We start from the raw sequence: 22,968 nt of genomic DNA on the forward strand, positions 1-22,968 counted from the left end.
TTAATCCTAGCTACTTAGGCGGCTGAGGTGGGAGGATCACTTGAGCTCAGGAGTTTGAGGTTACAGTGAGCTCTGATAGCGCCACTCACTCCAGACTAGATGATAGAGCAAGAAACTCTCTAAAAACCACAAACTAATAATAACAATAATATATTAAAAGTTTTTGAATATTGCAGGATTCACCATTGTATCTAGCTCCTGGTACATAGTAGCCACTCAATTTGTGGACTATGATAGTTAATTTTATGCCTCAACTTAACTGGGCTAAGGGATACATAGATAGTTGGTAAAACATTACTCTGGACATGTCAGTGAGGGTGTCTCTGAAAGAGGTCAGCATTTGAATCAGTACACTAAATAAAAATCACCCTCAACAATCTGGGCAGGCATCATCCAATTAATTCAGGGCCCGAAGAGAACAAAAAGGCTGAGAAAGGGTAAAATTCCTCTTCGTTTTAGCTGGGACATCCATCTTCCCCACCCCTTGGATATCAGCTTGCAGATGGCAGATCACGGAGTTTCTTGGCCTCCATAATAGCTGAGTCAATTTCAATAATCTCTCTCTCTTCTCTGTATGTGTGTGTGTGTCCATATATATAATGTGTATATATAGTCATATATGTATATATTCATATACATCCTGTTCATATAAATTCTATACATTAATATATATTATGTATAATTATGTGTGTATGTGTATATATATCTCCTGTAAATATACGTGTGTGTGTGTGTGTATATATATATGTATATGTATATATATATATACGTATATATATGTATATATATATACGTATATATATATGTATATATATATATACGTATATATATATATATACGTATATATATATGTATATATATATACGTATATATATATATATATATATGTATATATATATACACACACATACAGTCATGTGCCACTTAACAGTGGGGATATGTTCTGAGAAATGCATCATGAGGAGATTTCATCATTGTGTAAACATCATAGAGTATATTTACACAAACCTAGATGGTACAGCTTACTATACACCTAGGCTATATAAGGCTACAAACTTATACAGCATGTTACTGTACTGAATACTTTAGGCAATTGTAACACAATGGGAAGTGCTTATGCATCTAAACCTAGAAAAGGTACAATAAAAATATGGTATACAAGATAAAAAATAGTACACCCATATAAGGCACTTACCATGAATGGAGCTTACAGGACTGGAAGTTCTCTGGGTGAGTCAGTGAGTAAGTGGCGAGTGAGTATGAAGGCCTAGGACATTGCTATGTACTACTGTAGACTTTGTAAACACTATATAGCTAGACTACACTACATTTATTTTAGGAATTTTTTTCTTCAATAATATATTAACCTTAGCTCACTGTAACATTTTTACTTTATAAACTTTTAAATGTTTTTTAACTTGTTGACTCTTCTGTAATAACACAGCTTAAAACACAAATACATGCAGCTGTACAAAAATATTTTCTTTGTATTCTTATTCTATAAACTTTTTTCTATTTTAAACTTTATTTTTTTACTTTTTAAGCATTTTATTTTGTGAAAAACTAAACCACAAACCCACACATTAGCCTAGGCCTACACAGATTCAGGATCATCAATACCCCTGTGTCCCACCTTGACATCTTCTCCCACTGGAAGGTCTTCAGGGACAATAACATGCATGGAGCTGTCATCCCCTATGATAACAATGCCTTCTTCGGGACACCTCCTGAAGGACCTGCCTGAGGCTGTTTTACAGTTAACCTCTATTTTATAAGTAGAAGGAGTACACTCTAAAATATGATTAAAAATAAATACGTACACCAGTAACATAGTTGTTCATTACTATTATCAAGTATTATATATGTTACATAATTGTTTATGTTGCATAATTATTTGTGTTACACTTTTATATGACTATGACTGGCAGTGCAGTACACTTGTTTACACTACATCACAAATTTGAATAATGTGTTGTGCTACCACATTACAATGGATACAAAGTCATTAGGTGATAAGAATTTTTCAGCCCTATTATAATCTTATGGGACCACCGTTGTAAATGCAGTTCATTGTTGACCACAGCATAGCAATGCAGTGCATTACTCCTTTCATTATGCAGTTTACAAGACTCAAGTCTGGTTTGCAGATGGTTCTACATGATATGCAAGGACCACCTGAAAGTGGACAGCTCTAGCACTGCATCTCCTCTCCAGGACATCCCTGAAGGATGTTGTTGGACCAAAATTCTCCCAGCAGGCAAAACATCTTGTAATGCACCTGGTTGTGCACTTTGCTTGGAAAGAGAAACAGTCAGATGTGAGATTAAATACCAATTCATGGGCTATAGCCCACGGTTTGGCTGGATGGTCAGGGCCTAGGGAAGGGATATGATTGAAAAATAAGTGGTGAAGAAATCTGGGGAAAAAGTATGTGGAAAGACCTCTCTACAGACCAAAAAAAAAATCCCCCCAAAACCCATGAAGATACGTGTGTCCTATATAAATGCTCACCAATAGGTAGATTCAGCAGATGAAGATTTTAATAATCAAGTGGCTAGGATGACCCATTCTAAGAATATCAGTGAGGTTTTCCCTAGTCAGCCCTGTCACTGCCCAATGGACTCATGAAAAACATGGCCATGGTGGGAGGGATGGAGGTTATGCATGGACTCAGCAACATGGACTTCTGCCCACCAAAGCTGAGCTGAATATGGCCACTGCTGAGTGGCCAATCCACCAGCAGCAGAGACCAACACTGAACCCGTGGTAATGTCACAGTTTGCTGGGGAGATCGGCCAGCTACCAGGTGGCAGGTTGGTTATATGGGATCACTTCCATCATGGAAGGGACAGCCTTACTGATTAGACACCCTGGATATGGGTTTATAGGTTTGCCTTCTCTGCAATGTTTCTGTTTACTTACAGAATGCCTTATCTATTAGCATGGTTCTTTACACAGCATCATTTCTGATCAAGGAACACACTACAGCAAAAGAAGTGTAGCAGTGAGCCCATGCTCATAAATTCATTGGTCTTACCATGTTCCCCATCATCCTGAAGCAGGTGGCTTGACAGAACAGTGAAATGGCCTATTGAAGACTCAATTACAGTGCCAGCTAGGTGCAATGTATTGCAGGGCTGGAGCAAGATTCTTCAGGAGGCTGTATATGCTCTGAATCATCATTCAATATAAAGTCCTGTTTCTCCAATAGCTAGGTCCAGAATCAGTGGGGAAATGGGAGTGGCATCACTCACCATCACCTCTAGAGACTCACTAAAAAAAGTTTTGTTTCCTGTTCTCAAGAATTTATGTTCTGCTGGCCTAGAAGTCTTAGTTCCAGAGAGAAGAATGCTTCCACCAGGAGACACAACAATAATTTAATTGAACTGGAAATTAAAACTAACACTAGGCCACTTTGAACCTCTAATGCTTCTGAGTCAACAGGCCTAGAAGAAAGCTGTGGTGTTGGCTGAGATTATTGATACAGACTATCAAGGGAAATGGACTACCACTCCACAATGGTAGTAAGTAGGAGCATGCGTGAAATACAGGAGATCCCTTAGGGTGTCTCTTAATATTATCATGCCCTGTTATTAAAGTCAGTGAAAAACTACAACAACCCAACTAGGCAGGACTACTCATGACTCAAAACATTATTACTTTTTGTCTGTGAGGGAGTTTCTGGAAGAGATTAGCATTTAAATCAGTATACTGAATAAAGAAGATCAACCTCAACAATGTGGGCAGACATCATCCAATCTGTTTGGGGCCCAAATAGAAGAAAAATACAAGGTGGGGGGAAGGGTAAAGCTGCTCTCTGTTTGAGCTGGAACATCATCTTTTCTGCCCTCAGAAGCTTCTGGTTTTTAGGCCTTCACATTTGCGCAGAATTAAACCATCAGCTTTCCTGGTTCTTCAAGTTTGCAGATGGCAGATCATGGGACTTCTTGGCCTTCATACTCCTGTGAGCCAATTACCATAATAAATCTTCTCAGGTTTATATGTGTGTATATATTTTTATACCCTATTGGTTCTGCTTCTCTGAATACATGGACTGAATGAATAAATGAATGAATGCCATCTGCTTTTAGACTCACTGTGAAGATAAATTTCTCAGTTACCACATGACTCATAAACACCAAGATTTAGCAGAAGAAAAAAATCCCATATAAAAATCTTTTAAAAATGTGTTCAAAATGGCAAGAATTTGTTCTTGCATTTCAGAAAAGTCAACGAAGAGCATTTGAAACCTTCTCCATCCCCCTGTTGTACTTCTTGTATGTGCTTCTAGCATTGCATATATGGTTTTGTGGTTTTATCAGTGACTTATTCTCCTTATTGAACAAATATTTATTGAGGGTCCTATGTGTAAGTCACTCCACTAGGCACAGGCAAAAATGGAAATATCTCTGTCTTCAGTATCTTTTATATCAGTGGAGGATGAATACATTAAACAAGAATAAATACATAGAATAAGCAGTGTTTTAGATAGTGATAAGTGCCAAGGAAAAATAAAGCAGGTGAGGGGGCTTGGAAGGGGATGTGAACGTAAGTATGGGGTGAAGTTACTATTTTACATGTAATGGCCAGGGAAGGCATCAATGAAGTGACATTTGAGCAAAGTCAGAAAGGAAGGAAGGAAGGACCCCTCCATGACCAAGCAGGAGATTCCACAGAGAGAACTGTAACAATACATAGTGGTGAGGGATGGGTCATGTAATGACATTTACTCTCAGTGAGACAGGATGTCATTGGAGGATTCGAAGCAGGACAGTGGCATGATCTGACAGATTTTAAGGTGATAACCCTGTCTGCAGAGTTAAGAATATACTGTGAGGGGCAAAGGTAGATGCAGATATCAGTTATAAGGCCTTTGAAATAACCTAGATAAAAGATGATGGTGGCTTAGACCAGTTCACAGCAGTGGAAGTTTTGAGAAGTGGTTGGATACTGCATATCTTGTGATGATAAAGCCAATAGGATTTGGGAACACATTAGATGAACATTATAAGAGAAAAAGAAAGGCTAAAAATAATCTGAAGGTCTTTAACACAAATGACTGGAAGAATGGAGTTTCCATTGCCTGAGATAATGAAGACTACATATGGAACAGGTTTTGAAAGGAATTCCAGGAGGCTTTGAGTATGTTAAGTTTGAGATGCTCCTACACACAGAGATGTCAAGTGGGCAGTTAGACATGAGTTCGGTGTTCAGGACTGGAGATACAAATTTGGATGTCATCAGCATTCAGATGACATCAAAACTCGGAGCTTAAATGGGCTCACCAAAGAAATGAATAATGGATAGAAAACAGAAATTGAAATCCCGAGTCTTGGAACACTCTAAATATAGAGGTCATGGATGTGAGTAGAATCTAGCAGAGAAGAGTAGAAACTACAGAGAGAGAAAGTTAGGAGTAAAACCAAGGAACTGTGGTGTCCTAGAAGCTTAAAATTAAATACATATTTCAAATAGATGATCAAAATTATGAGGTTGATTTATGAAATACTCACCTTTGTCTCTTGTCTTTCCCCATCATCTACCTCCAGTCATCAGAGCTGTTTTGGTTATTTCTACAAAATATATCCATGTAAGTGAATGTTCCGTCAGAGAAGCAGAGGTAATATAAATGATATTGAGTAAGATATTTATTGCAGGGATTGGACCTTACGCAACTGTGGGAGCTTGAAAGATGTCTATGCAAATTTGTTGCCACGCAACTAAGGCTAGCTGAAAGCCACTAGTATCAGCAGAACTGAAAGTTGTAAAGAAAATCTATCTGTGGACTTGGGGTTGGCTGGGACAAACTGGATATTTTGGACCCCAAAAGACAATCTCTATCTACATCTGTCTCTAGCCACCTCCAACGTCAACAACACAAGTGAAAATGCAGTAGTTCCTGGCACTCTTCACATTTATACATGCACATTCTAAGAGGATTAAGAAGATCTCCCAGGAGTGGAGGGAACTTCAGATGCAGCTGCTGCCACAAATCAGTAAGGTGAGCTAGCAGATCAGCAAGGAGCAGGAGCAAAAACAGAACCTGGTTCCATACACTGATCTTCAATGTGTAATAAAGCTGCCCTTTTAATTTTTTTCTTCCAAATCTCATGAAGACTTCTCTTCCAGCCAACCCTAATTCAGAACCATAAAAGGAAGAGATTTCCAGGAAACACAAGTTTCACAAGATGACACAGTATAAAACAACTCCAATCCAGAATCTGCCAAAGTAAAATAAAGACTGAGAGTTAGCTACTGTGATTGTTGCAGTATATCTAGGATCAGGTTTTGATTTCCCTGAAACCAAGGAGTAACTGCTTGTGTACCTTTTGTATTGTACTTCATATTGTATTCTACAATGACCATCTCAATAGGAAAAGATTTTTCCCATCTTGGTATCCCTACTATTTGTGTGGTTTAGTATCTTCAGTACAAATTTGTTGAATAACTAAGGTTCCTTCAAATTTTACTTTTCTATGATTCCAAATAAAGATGTTTTCTACTACTAAACAATACAATATTGGTGAGAAATGAACAATTAAAATAGATCTTGAAATAATTCTCATGTATCAGGTTAGTGAATATACTCCTCCATTATGCTTAGACTGCAACATTCATATTTAAAGTTAGTTCAGAAAAAAAGATAACTTATGAAAGAATCAGAGACAAAAGACTGTCAGTAGTCTGAAGGAAAATGAAGGCTCTCAAAGGAATAACAATAATGTGTCTCTATTATATATGATTTGCTGGAAATGATATAAAGAATAAATCCACAGTCACATACTCCAATCCTTGTTTCACCTGAGCACCCATTATTTTGCTTCTACAAGTTATTGGGGATATAATAACAAGCAAATAAGTCATGGGCCCACAACTGGCTTATAGCCTAGTGGGATTTAAAGACTTAGGGAAAAGCTTGTGTAATAGGCAGAATTCAAATAACCCTCACCCTTGTATAATCCCCTCCTTTTCAATGTAGTTAGAACCTGTTACCATAGTACATAATACATTTTACCTGAGTGAATAGTTATGTTATATGGCACAGTTGACCTCAAGATAGGGAGATTATCAGGGTGGGCCTATTAATAAAATAATCATATGACACTTTTACAGGCAGAGAGTTTTCTCTGGTTAGTGGAAGAAGAACTAACAGATTTGGAGCATGAAGATTTGAAGCTGCTGTTGTTGGCTGACAATGGGGGGAGCTGTGTGTCAACAAATAGAGACTTAATCCTACAACTGCAAGAAACTAAATTTTGAACAATGAGCCTGGGAGTGGATCTATGCCCCAGAGCCTCCAGATGAGAACTCAGCCTAAATAACACCTTGATTTCAGGCCTGTGATATTGAACAAAGAACTAGCCACACCTTGCTAGACTTGACCTACAGAACTGTGATCTAACAAGCTGACATTTATTTTCAGCCATTTTGTTTGTGGTAACTTGCTATGCAGCAATAGAAAACTAATGCAGCTTGCCTCCGCTCCACATGGCTGGCTGGAGTATACAGATTGAGAGCTGAAGGTTCTATTTCCAAGATGGCTCACCTACACGGTTGGCAAATTGGTGCTCATTGTATGTGGGATGATAATGGCTGGAGGCTTCACTTTCTCTTCATATGGGCCTTTACACAGGCTGCTTGGCTTCCCTACAGCAGGTGGCTAATTTCCAAGAGCAAGAGTCCCAAGAGAACAAGGAGAAAATAAATGGCAGCTTTATGACCTAGCCTAGGAAACTACATAACATAATTTTCATCATATTCTGTTGGTTAAGGCCATCACAAAGGTCTGTTAAGGCTTAAGAGGGAGAAACATAACTTACCACTCAATCAGAGCATCTTCAACATCACATTGTAAGAAATGTATGAGATGTGATGCTTGTGATAGCCATATTTGAAACATATGATTACATGGTGATGTAATGACTCACTCCCATCTCAATATCCATTGTTTTTAAATTGTTAACATTTGAGGGAAAGTTGAAAATGATGACAGTGCAAAAAAATTTAAAAAAAAAAGCATTGTTACATCCAGTGTAGGTCAGGGATATGAATGTGTTTGAATAATAAATCCCAGAATAATAAATGTCAAGAACACCTGCTAACTTTAATATTAACTTAAATTTCGAGAAAACTCCCAAGATGTTAAAAATAGGCAGTGAGAATAAAAATTGGGAGCTATTTGAATATAAATGTGCTATTTTAACCTTAGTTAACTTGAAAAAATTGAAATATACCACAAGTGTTTTCTTGAACACTTAATGTTTGTAACATTAATAATAGTCACATTTCATACATTGCATATTTTGCTTTCCTTGATATGTAAATGCTAAGAAACTATAAAACTATTATTCACCCAGATATAAACTGCAGGCAGTTTTTCTATTACAGAGTTAAGTGTATGATTTTGGCTTTTTTTTCCAGAAAATGAAAAAGTTCAATATTGTTTTTATTTACAGAATATCATGATAAATAAATATAAAAAGCCATAACATTAGTCCTTAAGATGATCTAGACTGCATAAATATATACAAATTATTCCTCTTCATCTTCTATACTTGGATGATTAAAAATAATTGAATCTCACTACTAAGTGAACCAGACATAAGGAAACCACACTTCAATTCATGAAAGCATATGCATTCATTTCTAAAGTTAAAATTTTGGTCGAATAATGTATAGATTTGTCAAAATAAAAATGACTTCCATTTTATATAACGTCATAAGCCTAGAATTTCACAATTATAAGAGAAGCTTTATATAAATGACAAAAACTAGGAAATGCATTTTTCACATTTTAATTACAATTCACATGTCTGTATCTCCTGCTGTGATGTTTTGCCAAAAAGAGATCTCATTTGTGAAACTGCCAGTATAGAAAGTGACAGATGGTAAGACCAGTTTCCAACCTGCTATAGTACTGGTTTAATATGGTTTAGATTATTTTATTAGCATTGTTTACTTTTATTATATATCTAAGTAGTACCAGAATACTATTACAGTTTGTTTCATTTCTTCTATGGTTATAACTGTATCTATTTATATGATTTATATACCTGATTTAGTTTTAGTTTCAGATTTTATCAATACACTATTTTTAGGTACGGTTTAACTGATGTTTTATTTTAAAAATAGGACAAAATGTCCTATTCATTTTGATAAAATGTCTACAACCCACATAGATACCTAGGGACAATCATAATAGAAAAACTCAAAAGCCCAATTAAAAGAAAATCACTTTGATTATATAACCCATAGCCATCAAGAAATTAATCAATTAATTGGGTTAACTTTTTAAAAATATTACAATCAGAAAAAATAGTACAACAGTTCACCCTTATCCACAGTTTTACTTTCTGCTGTTTCAGCTACCTGAGGAACGTTGCAGTCCAAAAATACTAAACAGAAAATTCCAAAAATAAACAATTCATAAGTTTTAAATTGTGTGCCATTTTGAGTAATGTGATAAAATCTCAGTCCTTCCCACTCCATACGCCGGGACGTGAGTCATCCCTTTGTCCAGCATAGCCAGCTGTACATACTACCTGCTTGTTAGTCATTTAGTAGCCCTCTTGGTTATCAGAGCGCACACGCACACACACACACACACACAAATATATATGTGTGTGTGTATGTATGTGTATATATAAATGTTTTTATTCCGTGTGTGTGTGTATGTGTGTGATATTATCTATGGTTTCAGACATTCACTGGGAGTCTTTGAACATATCCCCCAAGGATAAAAGAGAACTACTGTATTCAAACATAAAAAAGTATTCCATGTGAAAGCATGAAATCCTAAAGTTATTTTCCCAAAGACCTCATTAGTTATATTTGGAAATAGAAAAGTGGCTCATGCCTTTAATCCCAGCACTTTGGGAGGCTGAGTGTGGAGGATCCCTTGAGCCCAGGAGTTCGAGACCAGCCTGGGCAACATGGTGAGACTCTGTTTCCAAAAAAACAATTAATTAATTAAAAAAATAAAGAGAAACAAAGATGTGAAAATGATATAAAAGTTTCTAATGGTGAATCTGTTTACAAAATTTTTTGTTTTATGTTAATAAACATTATTTTAACTCAGTTTTCCTCCCTTAATAAACAGAGAGGCTTAAATTCAGAGAACATTAATGTTAGCTCTTGCCTCCTTTCACTACATTTCACCACTTAAATGTGAAAAATGCATTTCCTAGTTTTTGTCATTTATATAAAGCTACTCTTATATTGTGAAATTCTGGGCTCATGGCGTTATGTAAAATGGAAATCATTTTTATTTTGACAAATCTATACACTATTCGAAATTTTTTCAGCTCCCTAAACTGGGTAGTCTTCCTGGAAATTCAAGATTACTTCAGTTGCTGGGTAAGAGATGCCTCTCCATGTCCTCTATTATCCATCCTCTTAGCCCACAAAATGGGCTTAGAATTACATCATTTGGTAAATCCGGGACATGATAGCCAAGATACAAGGATAGTGGCTTACATTCACCTTTATAGTCTTGCTCCCAAGTATGTCCTACAGCATGAATCCTAGGTGTCTTGTGGAGTTTCCAGACCAAAGACAGCTCATGCAGTGAGTGCTTTGACCCAGTCACCTGAGTTTAGCTTCTGCCTAGATTTCCACATGAATAGATCTTGCTGTCCTGCCACTGGGCAGAATTTCCACAGCAAAAAGACAATTTACCAAGTATAGTCACCACTATCAGATATCTGAAGAATAATTTTATTTAAAGTCTTGTCTACTGTGCCTTGTCTACCTGGAAACTTGCCCAGCTAAGAGTTTTCTACATTAAGATTGAGTTTTTCTGTGCTCTCTGGACCTAGAACTGCAGCTGAGTCCATCTGCACATCTCCTATCTCACACTTTCTCATCAGTCCTTGTCTTGAACTAAGTGCCAGTTTTAGCCTTGATGTCAATTAACTAGTCCTGTCGCTCTAAGGTACTAATGATGCCACTTTCATATTACAAAAGTCATCACAGAAGGATAATTTACTTCTTAGTAATATGAAAGAAATCCAGAATGCTAATAACATATGCGTAATATTTTCTTGAATTTTTGTATTCCATTAGGCTAAAACAACTAGGGGAAATGGTCTTCATATATTTTTTCATAATGATTGGCTAATCACGATAGAGTATAAAGTAAATCAAAGAAACATAAAATAGCTTGGAAAGAACAAAAGAAATGCAATTTAAAAATGTTTAATGACACTCCACCTACAAACATTGTTTTACAAATGTATTAAAGTTAATTCTCTTTCTAAAATGTCTTAGACTAGTAATAGGGTTGGGGAAAAAAATCTCCCTTTCCTTCCCTGGGCTATAATTTTACTTTTTAGGTATGACTACTGAGGAATTTCTAATTTGGCTCATCACTTCAGTGGGAATTCAGTGCACATAAGGGGCACATATGTAATTGGCAACCTAATTTTTCTGCTTTCATCAAATGGTGCAATGCCAAATCTTCATTGAACTTGCCAGTTAAATGCACTTGGGAACCAAACAGCAGCAAGCATACATGAGATTAAAATGAACAAATTGGAAAGAGTCATTAACTTTTTCTGTTTTCCTATCACAACAAAAATTGTATCATTGAAAGTGTTGCAAAGTGGGGAATTCTACTTGAAACATTAAACAATCTTAAAAGAGAATAATTCATTTACTTAACTTCTAAAATGTGGTTCATTATAATTTATAAATGGGGTTTCTAGTGCAGATTTTTTTCAACAAAAATACAAAATCATTAAAATGAATAAACTTTTCAGGAGTATGTTTTAAGTTATATGTTTCACATGTCTTTCTGGTCTAGTGCATATAAATTCTAGCCTTTATTTGGAAAGAAAAATTGTCAGAAAATTAAGCAAGAAATGTTGGCTTCCTGTAATACCGTAATGAATAAAGGCAATTGACAGCTTTTCATGGTTCTCAGTAATTATGAATGGAACTGAGAGTGTAAAAATTACTATCATTTGTGGTTACCAAAAATGCCCTTGAAATATCTGGTCTAATATATAATTTTGAAGTATGCAATATACAGTCATAATCAAATTATTGTTATTAATGACAATTAAATAGAGAACCAGGACACTGAAAACACCACAAACTTGCTGAATATGATTGAGTATCATCCCTTTAGGAGGACATAACCTTTTAAAATGTCTGTTTACGGCTCTCAAACCACCTATGTATTCACTAGATGCAAATGTTCAGTAATATCTCCTCTACAAAATTTCGTTTTACAATGACACCAGGTTTCTTTCAGAAAGGACTGTGTAGGAAAGTTTTCTTTTTCCATTTATGAGTTCAAGTATGTTAAGACTTTTTAAATTGTTGACCAGCCCTAAAAAACATTAACATTTCATAAATCGCTCTTGCATTGTAAAAAGAAGGAGGGAGGTAGAAGAAAAATGCCAAAGGATTGTAGGTCAGCTTATTTCATAAACAAAAGCTCTAAGGAAAGTCCTGAGATTTTTAAGTAAGCCAGGCCTTCTGAATGGGACATGATATGGACAGTAGAATAAGACAGATTGAGTTCCATTGACATTATTTATTCTTTGTATGATCTTAGGTTATCTACACACACTTTCAAAATTTAACTTTCTTGGTCTGTAAAATTGAGGAAATAATAATAGCTGTCCCATAGGGCACACTATCAATCCCAATATGCTTTGTTAGTCCATTCATTTTTCCAGTGCTTAATCAAAGAAGCTTTAATGGCCTATATACTTATATTATTGATATATTCACGCACCTGTCCCAACTTGCTGTCCTTTCCAATATCACTTTGTTTTTATCACACTCCTTAATATCACTTCTTTGTTAGGTCTTGATCACATGCTTAAATCATTTTTAATGTTTGCTAAACTCTGTATGAGAGATTGAAGAATTACGAGACAGGAACATCAATGTGAAAGGGTAAAATATGTGGAGAATATATAAGGTGCCAGCATATGACAAAACCCTAAAGATGTACGATGGTCACAAGCCATGGAAGAAGATAGGACAACTGAATTGTCAACCTTGCCGCCTCCTCCGTAGCCTCCTAAATCTTATCTTCCTTTTGTCTAATTTATGAAAAATGTTTCCTATAATTGTCTCCCAAAAGCAGAGTTGTCCCCATGCTGTAATATACATTGACCACTCAGATTCATTTAAAAAATACATCTTGCTTTTATTCCCAATATAACCACATTTCAGAAGTTAGATCATAGCCAGTTAGATTACACAGAGCGTGCGCACGCGCACGCGCACACACAAACACACCTTGAAAAAACTGTAGATCACTTGATTTCTGGAAGTTTTTCTCAATACCTCAGTGCACCTGATCACAACATCTTGTAATCTGGGCAGAAGGTAAGGGAGGTGATGTTAGGCGTACAAACTTAATATTGGGGATGCATTTTCTACCTAGAAATGGTCCTACATTCTACCAGAATGGGTTAAAAACAGATGCGCGCGCGCACACACACACACACACACACACAGAATTAAATGCACTACATTTGCTGTATTGCCTGCTAAAGGCATAAATATACTGGAGTGGAGATAAAGAAGGGGATGGATGGGAAAGAGTTCAGTACTTAGTGTAAACCTGAAAGGAAATGAGGCAGTGCAAGGGGAGAGAGGATCAGGGGAAAATAAATTATGTAGGCAACAGAACCATGCATCAAAAGTCTTTTCGATTTCTAAACTGGCAAATTTTCTCCAGGGGACCATCAGTCAAATGATGTCAAATTGAGCTGATTCTCTTGTAATGCCTGTATTGTGTAGGGCCTTCCTTGTAGGAACACAAGTTCCACTCTCGGACACAGTCGCAGTGCTTGCATTATCTTACAGAATTGATTGCTGCAAATGGTTCCTGGGAGGTGTGACCTGCTTAAAGGAAAGAAGCTAGGTTTCTTTTCTTGTTACTGAGGAATGAAGACACTTGTCAGGATGTGAATTGTGTGGGTGAGAAGGAAAAGCGGCGAAAGAATCTGGTAATTCCTTCCCTTACAGGAGGAAGAGAAAAAAGATAACATCGGAACCTTGGAGAGGAGAAATACAGTGCATTTATTTCCAGCATCCCCGCAGTCACTTCACGTCTCTTCAGACTTCCCCTATTCTTTAGTCTTGACCTGCCTATGCACTTGAACTCCACATAAGCACTAGGATGGACTGGGGGAAAAGGCCAGGTCAGCACGGTGGGATACTGCTTCCCCTAAAATGAAAACTCAGCAGCGGGCCAGCAGTGGGTGTGCGCGCGTCGATGCCAGAGGATGCGTGCGTGGAATCCGGCGGACGCAGTGGGCCGGGCACCGCCCTCCAAGCCGCCCCGCCCAGCCCACCACACTCCTCCTTGTATAAAGGCCGCGCTTGGGCCCGCCCTCCTCACAGCCCCGGAGCGCGGCCTGCCGGGGAGGTGGATCTCGCGCTCCCCACACAGTCACACTCCGCGCACTCACACACTTGGAAGCGCCTCCCCACGTCCCTCCCCTGCCCTCCTCTTGCTCTGCTCTTCTCTCCCTCACCACAAATAGTCGCCGACCTACTGCCAATCCGCCTCTCCTCTCTCTCTCTCTCTGTCTCAACATGACTGACTGGGAAGCGGTGGCTCGGGCAGAGCAGCTCCGCTGGCGCAGGCAGGAGGAGCAGGAGGATTATTAAATAACGCAGCTGGACTCTGTGCAACTGGGAGTGGAGAGGAGCCCAACAGCCGAGAAGGGGAGGGAGGGCAGAGGAGGGGGACCAGGAAGGACACCCCCGTGCCCCGAAGACATAAATCCCTGAGTGCCCGGGAGGAGCCTTAACAAGCGCACGGAGCCCTCAAGGTAGTAACGCCCCTGGTGCCTCAGCGCTCAGCGGGTCGCGCGTCGCGTCGCCGCTTTGCGGGGCCGGCCGCAGGCGGACGCGGGGATGACCGCTCGGCAGGTGACCGCGCCGTGTCGGGGCCGCCTGCGAGCAGCGCGCGCCCAGGCCCGGCGTGCTCGGCGCAGAGACCTGGCCTTGCGGGCGGGGTGGGAAGGAGGCGGGCGGGCTCGCTCACCACCGGCCCGCGACTCCCAGTGCGCCGCGTGGCCATTTCCTCCACGCTGCTGCGTGGTTTGCTGCCTGCGGCCGCGGCGGCCGCTCCAGGGCGATGCGGAGCGCTGGCCAAGGCGGCGAGAGTTGGCGCAGGCTTCGGGTCGCTCCCCTTCCTCGCCACTCGCGTCCCGCAGGTAGAGGCGACCGGTCAGCGCTGGCGCCCCGGGCTGCGGGTGCTGAGGCGGGGACGGCGGCGAAGAGGGGGAAGGGGAGGAGGGGGCGGGGAGCCAGGGGCTCCCGGAGGAACCGCAGTGCGGGGCCGGGACCACCTCTTGCCTCCGCCTGCTTGTCCTCTGGCGCCAGTTTCCTGGATTGGAAGCAAGACCCTGCCCAGAGGCAGCAGTAACGGCAGCGACTTAGATTGAACCACTTGCTTTGTGGTGGAGCGTCAAGGGCCCCAGGTTGTGTGCGTGTGTGTGTGTGTGTGTGTGTGCGCGCGCGCGCGCGCTCTGGACTAACCAGTGGGTTGGTTCACCTGAGCAGAAAGTCAGCCGTAAGCTGAAACCGCATGTGGCCCCCTGGCCCCTTCGACTTTTGGCTTGTGTCCCAGGGACTCGTACACACGGTGCCAGCAAGGGGTAAGGGTGACGGAGGGATTTGTGAATGGTGCTTCTGCGTGCGTGGAGGCTGAGCCTTGCTGATGTAAAGGAGGAGGTATCCAGAGTGAGAAGAAAGGCTATTTATGGCAAAGAGTTGTGAAATTTCTTGGGGTTTCCTTTTAGTGTATCCTGAACTGCTCTCTTTCTCTCTCTCTCTCTCTCCTCTCCCTGCCTCAGAATTAGAAGCAATTATGCTTCCCCTTCCTCTCGTGGGACATGGAATATGAAATGAAGTAAAAAAAAAACTCATATTTTTACAGGTAGAAAAAAATACTTCTTAGAAGTTACAGATTCTTTGCCCTTTAATGTTTTTATGTCCTCTTCTCCACCCCTCTTACCTTTTCAGGCAGTCAGTAGGACTTACAAGTCAGAAAATACCTACTTGGTTTCAACAGCTTTCATTTCTGAAATCTTTACAGTTGAATACCTTCCTATTGAAATGTAACACACATCCTCCCTTCTCTGCCCCTCAAGGACTATTAAAAATAATGTGTACACGTTTAAAGTAAAGCTGGTTTTATTAACAGCCTTAGGGAAAACGGATAAGAGGACACCTAGGTGGGGGTCAGTTATCACTGGTTCCTTCAAAACTGGTTATTAAGGGAAGACCTAAAATACTGGTAATCTAGGCTATAATATAATTTGTCTTGGTTTCTCTTTCTGTTTGCTTTATAACAGGTACATGTTCCAGATACGTAACTTGAAACTTAAAGATGCCTTGGGACAGTGCCTGTCACGGTGCTTATAAAATGAATGTTTTCTCTTAAAAGTAGCAACCTGTACTTTTATAGAACTGTGACTGGGTTTAGTAGTAGGACAGTATCCTTAATATTGCAAACTGAAATGTCTCTAAAAGCCTGCCAAGACAATGTTTTTCAAATATTGAAATTCCATGTTGTAACCACACTTTCAATAGTTTCACAGAGAAAAAAGAGAAGTTGGTCAACCTATTGTCAGAGTGATTTGTCTTCATTTAAATTAATTAGTTATTTTGATCAAAACAAACCAACTGTTGTTTGTATTGTTTTATTGCTTTCCTAAACAGTCCTGTTCTTTGAAAAACAAAGCAGAGTTAAGGATTTGATATTTTGATTTTGTTAGATTTATATTACTTTGAAATACATTTTCAACACGGAAGCATGTGCAGCTTTAAATATTAGGTTAGAACTCAGATGGAGAACCCCATTCGGAGGGTTATTACCTCAACTATCCCAAACTATTTGAACATAGATATAATAGGGAATTAAAAAATGTAATTGATGAACTGTATTATTGCAATCATTAAAAGTCCTATTTATGAGTATTTTGTTTTTTGACAGTTAAGAGAATCAGCAACTGTTTATTATTTTAAAGATACATTATTTATACCATAGAATGTTAATTTAGATAAAACAAAGTAGAAAATGAAAAATTTGTTATATTTTTACAGTAATAGTTATTCAACCCTTTATTGCATTTTATTACTCATCATAATGCTCATAATAAAGGGCCTAACGTTTGCAAAGTACTACTGTCTAGGCATTGGGGAGGAACGGGAGATTCCTTGTTCCCTGTCTTTCAGGAACTTACTTGCCATGTGGGAGGAATCTGATGCTCATGCTTGAGCGTAGAGTTAACAACCCGTAACAATAAGAGATTACATGTCTAATGAGTACTACAGGAGTTCAGAACATGACAATAACATTTCATACTGGATTTTGTTTGAGAATGCTTCGGGGGTGGGTAAGACTTGCTTGATCTTGATGTTAAAGGATAAGCAGGATTAGTACATTGTGGATAAGAAAAATATAAGGTATAAGATGCAAGTCTCCTGGAATAATAGAAAAGAACATATAAGGGAAGATAAGTTTGTTTTGATATAAATTAAGATATTGCTGGATATTTTGCAGAGTGCAGGTTGAGTCTGTTTTGGATGTACATCCTTCTACACATTCTATTCTTTTTTTTTGTTTGTTTCTGAGATGGATTTTTGCTCTGTCACCCAGGCTGGATTTCAGTGGCGCTACCTCGGCTCACTGCAACCTCAGCCTCTCGGGTTCAAGTGATTCTCCTGCCTCAGCCTCCGGAGTAGTTGGGACTACAGGCGCATGCCACCCCGCCCAGCTAAATTTTGAATTTCTAGTAGAGATGGGGTTTTGCTATGTTGGCTAGGCTGGTCTCAAACTCCTGACCTCATGATCAACCCGCCTCGGCCTCCTGTGCTGGGATTACAGGCGTGACCCACTGCGCCCTGCCCACATTCTATTCTTGAATTTAATTGTTAATATTTACACATTTAAGAAGACAAATCTTTAGCTTTATGTTGTCTTTTTGTTTGTTAGTTTGTTTTTTGAGATGGAGTTTCGTTCTTGTCGCCCAGGCTGGAGTGCAGTGGCGCAATCTCGGCTCACTGCAACCTCCGCCTCCTGGGTTCAAGTGATTCTCCTCCCTCAGCTCCCTGAGTAGCTGGGATTACAGGCACGCGCCACCACACCCAGCTAATTTTTGTATTTACTTTAGTAGAGATGGGGTTTCACCATGTTGGCCAGGCTGGTCTCGAACTCCGGACCTCAGTTGATCCACTCTCCTCGGCCTCCCGAAGTGCTGGGGTAACAGGCGTGAGCTACCACGCCTGGCTTATATTGCCTTTTAATAGACAATATGTACTTGTATTACTACAGTAGTGCAATAGAGTTCTTGTAGAGAATATGTACTTTAAATATTTAAATGTATCCACATCTCACTAATGTGTTGAGTAAAAGTGGCACACCTCTTTATAGTGAGGTGTTTTCGGTATTTCCCTAAGCAAATCTTTTTAGGTTTGCTCTAAAGAAGTGTGATGATGTGTAAAAGAATAACAGTATTAATAGTGAGCATCTATTGAATACTCAACATTTTATTCTTCATATAAAATGTGTTGTCTATTAATATATTTCATATAATAGTTTATTTTAAACTTCTTAGATTTATTGAATCTATTAGATTAGATTTTATTTAAAGTTATTGTATGCAGCCACATAATAGTTAATCTATCCATATATTATTTGCCATAAATATAGAGCTATGATACGGAGCCTATAGTGAAAATTTTAGAATTTTAGCAACAATTTTATGGCTATTTTAACTATCTTCTGATAAATAAATTGTATTAACAATAACACCATGACCTGTCTCTAAACTTAGTTGTTTTTTTCTTTGTGTATATAGGTTGATTTTAGACAAACTGCTTAAAATGCATTTCTTCATTTCAAGAATAAAAGGGAAACATCTGAGTTGACTTTGAGCCTGTACATTCAATATGACACCCCAGAAGTATGTTTTGGTGACAGTAAAGAAATTGCACAAATATTAGACATGACTTTCAATAAATAACCAAATGGAATTACTTTCAGATTAGTTGAATTAAAATATTTTCATATATATATTTTGTTGACAGTGAATAGATAAGAGTTATTACAAAAGTGAAAGCCTATTTAATCACCAATTTTATATTCATGCAAGAATGGAATGATTCCCCATGTAGTTAGGGTACAAACTAGCCTATCTGTTAATTGGTACCTTTTGAATTTGGTTTTGGACTATATGTCACAGGTGTATCATTTCGATAATGTAATCTCGTCCACTGTATGACTGACAGCTTCTGCATGATTTCCCTATTGGACAGTGACAAAATCTGTTTGCTTTATAGTGAGTACATACACTTCTATCAGCAATATTATCTTCCCTGTGCAAGAGTGTCAGTTAACAATAAAACATGAAGTCTGGGGTGGGAGAAGCAGTGAAAAAAGATGGGGAGATTGAGGAGAAAACACTGTAACAAAAGAAACATGTTTTACTATGAAGCTTAAACTGAATATTAAAATATAAAGCTGACTATTCTAAACTGCAGTACATTACCAAGATATTGTTATCAGTCTACTTTAAACAACCATATTGTATTTTAAGTTGTTTCCATGCAGCCTAAATTTTTTTAAAAGGTGTTTGTTGGAAATATTTACTGAGGTGTTTGATATATTACAAATTGTTAAAAGATTTCTGCTCAGATCATTAACTAATGAAGTTATTTGCCAAATTCCTGGCCCTATACCTGGAATAACTTAAAGCACGGCTTTTGGTTTTGCATCATTTACACTGCACTAACTCTTTTCAAATATTAATTAAAGTTAAACTTGATTAAAAGTTTTGAATTTTTAAACTGTGCTTTGATACTAAATACAGTCCAAAGGACTTTTATAAAGAAACAGTTTATTATCTAGTGACAATTCTTAACCTAGAGTAGTGGTTTTCAAAATGTGGTGTCCTAAGCAGCAATAGCAGCAAGTATAAACTTGTTAAAATGCCATATCTGGAGCCCCACCACAGACTGATTGATTCAGAAGCTCTGGGGTGGGGTTCTCTGTGTGATTCTTATGCACTCTAGAATTTGAAAGCCACTGACCTAGAGTATTTTAGAGTAAAAACTGAAGGCTATGTCTTTCTTCTGTTTTATAAATAAATACTTCCCTCAGCTGGTAGTAAACTAAGGTTCAGATATTCAGTTTTGGAAAATATTCCATTGTCCATCAAAAGTTTTTCATCTTAACTATGTTTTCTGACCAAATTTTTAATGAGTTCCCATTGCTTGTGCAAGAATTTGCTGTTGATTGGGGAGGGAATACATGAAAATTTAACTGGATAGTAATGACTGTAGGCTGGACCTTATTGGTAGGTAGTTATAATGCAAAGGGTATGCACAATACAAAAGTTGACCAATTTCTGTTTAGTTTTGTTGACTCTCCTGTGATATTTTTGGTTTTGGCATATAGTAAGCACCTTTCTTTGGATAAGATTATAGCTGTTTTAGCTGTACAATAATAATATCACACATGAAATATTCTAAGTCCCACTGCTGAAATAAATTTTGGACCATAGCTCTACGTCTTTCAAGCTTAAATATAATGTGTTCACATCCTGTATCACCTTTATACCACTGTTTCTCTCCCTTTCCACCGAACCCTTGCTTCTCTATTTCAATCATCACTTCCCTAGGGATACCTTTCTTGGCCTTGTTTTCTACATCGGTTGCCCTGTTATATATAGTTTTGCATTATGTTCCTCTTCCTTGTGGTACTTTTGGCAGTTTAAATTTTACCTGTTTTGTATGATTGGTTCAGTATTGCTTCATCAGTGTTAGCAATGTCCAGCACATAGTAGACGCCTGATAAATAGTGCCTAAAAGAATATATGAATAAATAACTGAGCTTCTTTGCCTTCATTCTGAGAATGTTTTATTTTTTCCAAAGAAAGAAACCTTAAGAAATATTAAAAATAAGGGGAGTCTTAGAATTTTTGCAAACATAGGTATTTCCTGTTTTGCAAATTATGAAATATTATTTTATTAACAACAATAGCAATGACTGTAATGTGCTGGACACTTCTTACATGATATACACTTTATAATGTTATGTCATGTCATTCTAACATTGTAAAGTTAGTTTGATGCATATATTAGAGATGAGGAAACCGAGTCTCTGTTCTATGGTCTGCTAAACTATATAGACCAAACTTTGATTTTTAAAGTGATAATGATGCAAAAATTATGAAACTCATAAACAGAGAAACTCTGAAGGAGTATATCTCCTCTTTCTTCCTAATTTAACCAAGGGCCCAGCAGCAATATCTGTGTATTACCTGTCCTTTTGCCACCATCTTGAATGATGCTGCCATTGCTTCTTGGGTCACTGAGGACTTGGAGATGGAGGACCTGCAAGGCTGGTACTCCCATCTTCTTATTGCTATTTTCAGTGGGGATATTGTGCACTCTCAGTGCCATTCAACCACACTTCTCTTACTCTATTTAGTCAGAATCACTGAACTCTTTAATGAAAATTTAAGATGTAACCAAGTATAATTTTGTGAATGTGTGCGTTCATGCAGAGAAAGTTCAGACATTAGATATTCCACTTCATATTTGAAGTTATGCAGCTTATCTTCTGGAAAGGTTCATGCAGAGCTTTGAGCATGTTGCTTAAGAAAAGTTGAGCTTATGCACAAGTTATGAATCTAGCTTTCCTTCCATGAAAAGGAAATATGTTCACTGCTGCTATCAGATTTAATTTAGTTTCTTTTAACTTTTATTCTTCAGTTCATCTATTTAACTGTGGATTTAATCAGTGTTCACATATTTGTAGCAAAGGATATATTTAAAGGCTGATTTCATAGAAGTAAATGGACAGAAAGTTAAATTTGGTTATTTTGAAACTCTCTTCAAGACTATACAAAGTTATATATATTTTATAATGTGTTTAAATCAGTCAAAACCATGAATAAAACTAGATTAATAATATCAAGGATTAAAAAATGTTTTTTTAACTAATTTTTCACTTATGGCTTATTTTGTAGCTTTTGTCAAAATCTATTTCTGTTACTGGAAGAATGAACTCTAACTTGAGCCTTAACCATGCTCCTGATTCGGAAGCATTCTTTCTATATAATGAAAAATTAACTGATTTCTAGCCTAACATTTTGTGGCTTAACATTAAGCAGCCTTTGATAACTCAACTCTAACATTACAACGTATTTCTAGTAATTAGGCTTACTTCTATAACTGAAACTGATTTCTCGCTTAATATTTTGCCCTGTATCTTGATAAATTACCCAATCTCACTATTCCTCCTAGCATTTGAGCAAGACCCCCCCTTTGAAAAAAAACAACAACTGGGATCCTGCCTCTGAAACAACCTCATTTTTTAAAAAAAAGACTGGGATCCTGCCTCTGAAACAACCTCATTTCCTGAGCCATTTTATCTGCCAGCAGACACCAGAAAACACAACACTTTCCTGGATCTCCAAACATTGCTAGCTCTTAGAAGTATGCTTCATTTCAATACTCACTCTTGGATTTCCATGATGCCAACTACTTATGGCATATTGCCTTGCTCCTGCATAGTTAGACTGGTTAGACTTTTTCTAAGTATTTACAGCTGTGCCTCTGGAGTGCTTTCTAAACGACAGTGCAGTTGTAGTACCAGTTTAGGACCATCGCCAGACTGCCTCATTTTGCTGAATGTAACCTTTCCTTACCTGGCTGTGCCCCACTAGAAAGATAGTCATGCATCATCATTGACAATAAATATTTTATAAATGTTTATTATAGAGTTGAAGTCCGTCAGTTTCAAAAATAATCATGCACCTCTTATTGGTATTATCTTAAAGTATAAATTACCAATAACTTATGGTGTTTACTGAACAGCTTAATCCACAATAAATGAAATACTTGGAATTCTGTATCTTATTTGGTGTCCAAATGTGATATGTGTGTACAAATATATGCACAATGTGCATATGAATTCTT

General features: G+C 38.0%; 1 protein-coding gene across 35 annotated transcripts in view, besides 3 other annotated features; it reads left to right on the forward strand.

Moving 5' to 3' along the window:
• Positions 5,748–5,987: an enhancer, noted in NCBI's record as "active region_21723". NCBI's record gives its function as "activates an Ori minimal core promoter by ATAC-STARR-seq in GM12878 lymphoblastoid cells {active_cell/tissue: GM12878}" and the evidence as "EXISTENCE:reporter gene assay evidence [ECO:0000049][PMID:35858748]".
• The window catches only part of CCSER1 (coiled-coil serine rich protein 1), a 1,477,902-nt gene continuing 1,469,300 nt past the window's right edge, over positions 14,367–22,968 (forward strand). For 30 of the 35 annotated variants that reach the window (XR_001741218.2, XR_938733.3, XR_938734.3 and 27 more), the window contains exon 1: positions 14,367–14,804. The gene's annotated coding sequence lies outside the window, so the exon portion shown is untranslated. Of the gene's footprint in view, positions 14,805–15,298; positions 15,459–15,510; positions 15,636–22,968 lie in introns of those variants that run through there. The other 5 variants (XR_007057924.1, XM_011531938.3, XM_047415678.1 and 2 more) reach the window with 2 other exon arrangements.
• Positions 14,925–15,124: a silencer, noted in NCBI's record as "silent region_15570". NCBI's record gives its function as "represses an Ori minimal core promoter by ATAC-STARR-seq in GM12878 lymphoblastoid cells {active_cell/tissue: GM12878}" and the evidence as "EXISTENCE:reporter gene assay evidence [ECO:0000049][PMID:35858748]".
• Positions 15,235–15,484: a silencer, noted in NCBI's record as "silent region_15571". NCBI's record gives its function as "represses an Ori minimal core promoter by ATAC-STARR-seq in GM12878 lymphoblastoid cells {active_cell/tissue: GM12878}" and the evidence as "EXISTENCE:reporter gene assay evidence [ECO:0000049][PMID:35858748]".

Source organism: Homo sapiens, chromosome 4 (assembly GCF_000001405.40).
Source record: "Homo sapiens chromosome 4, GRCh38.p14 Primary Assembly".
In the NCBI taxonomy this organism is placed as follows: domain Eukaryota; kingdom Metazoa; phylum Chordata; class Mammalia; order Primates; family Hominidae; genus Homo; species Homo sapiens.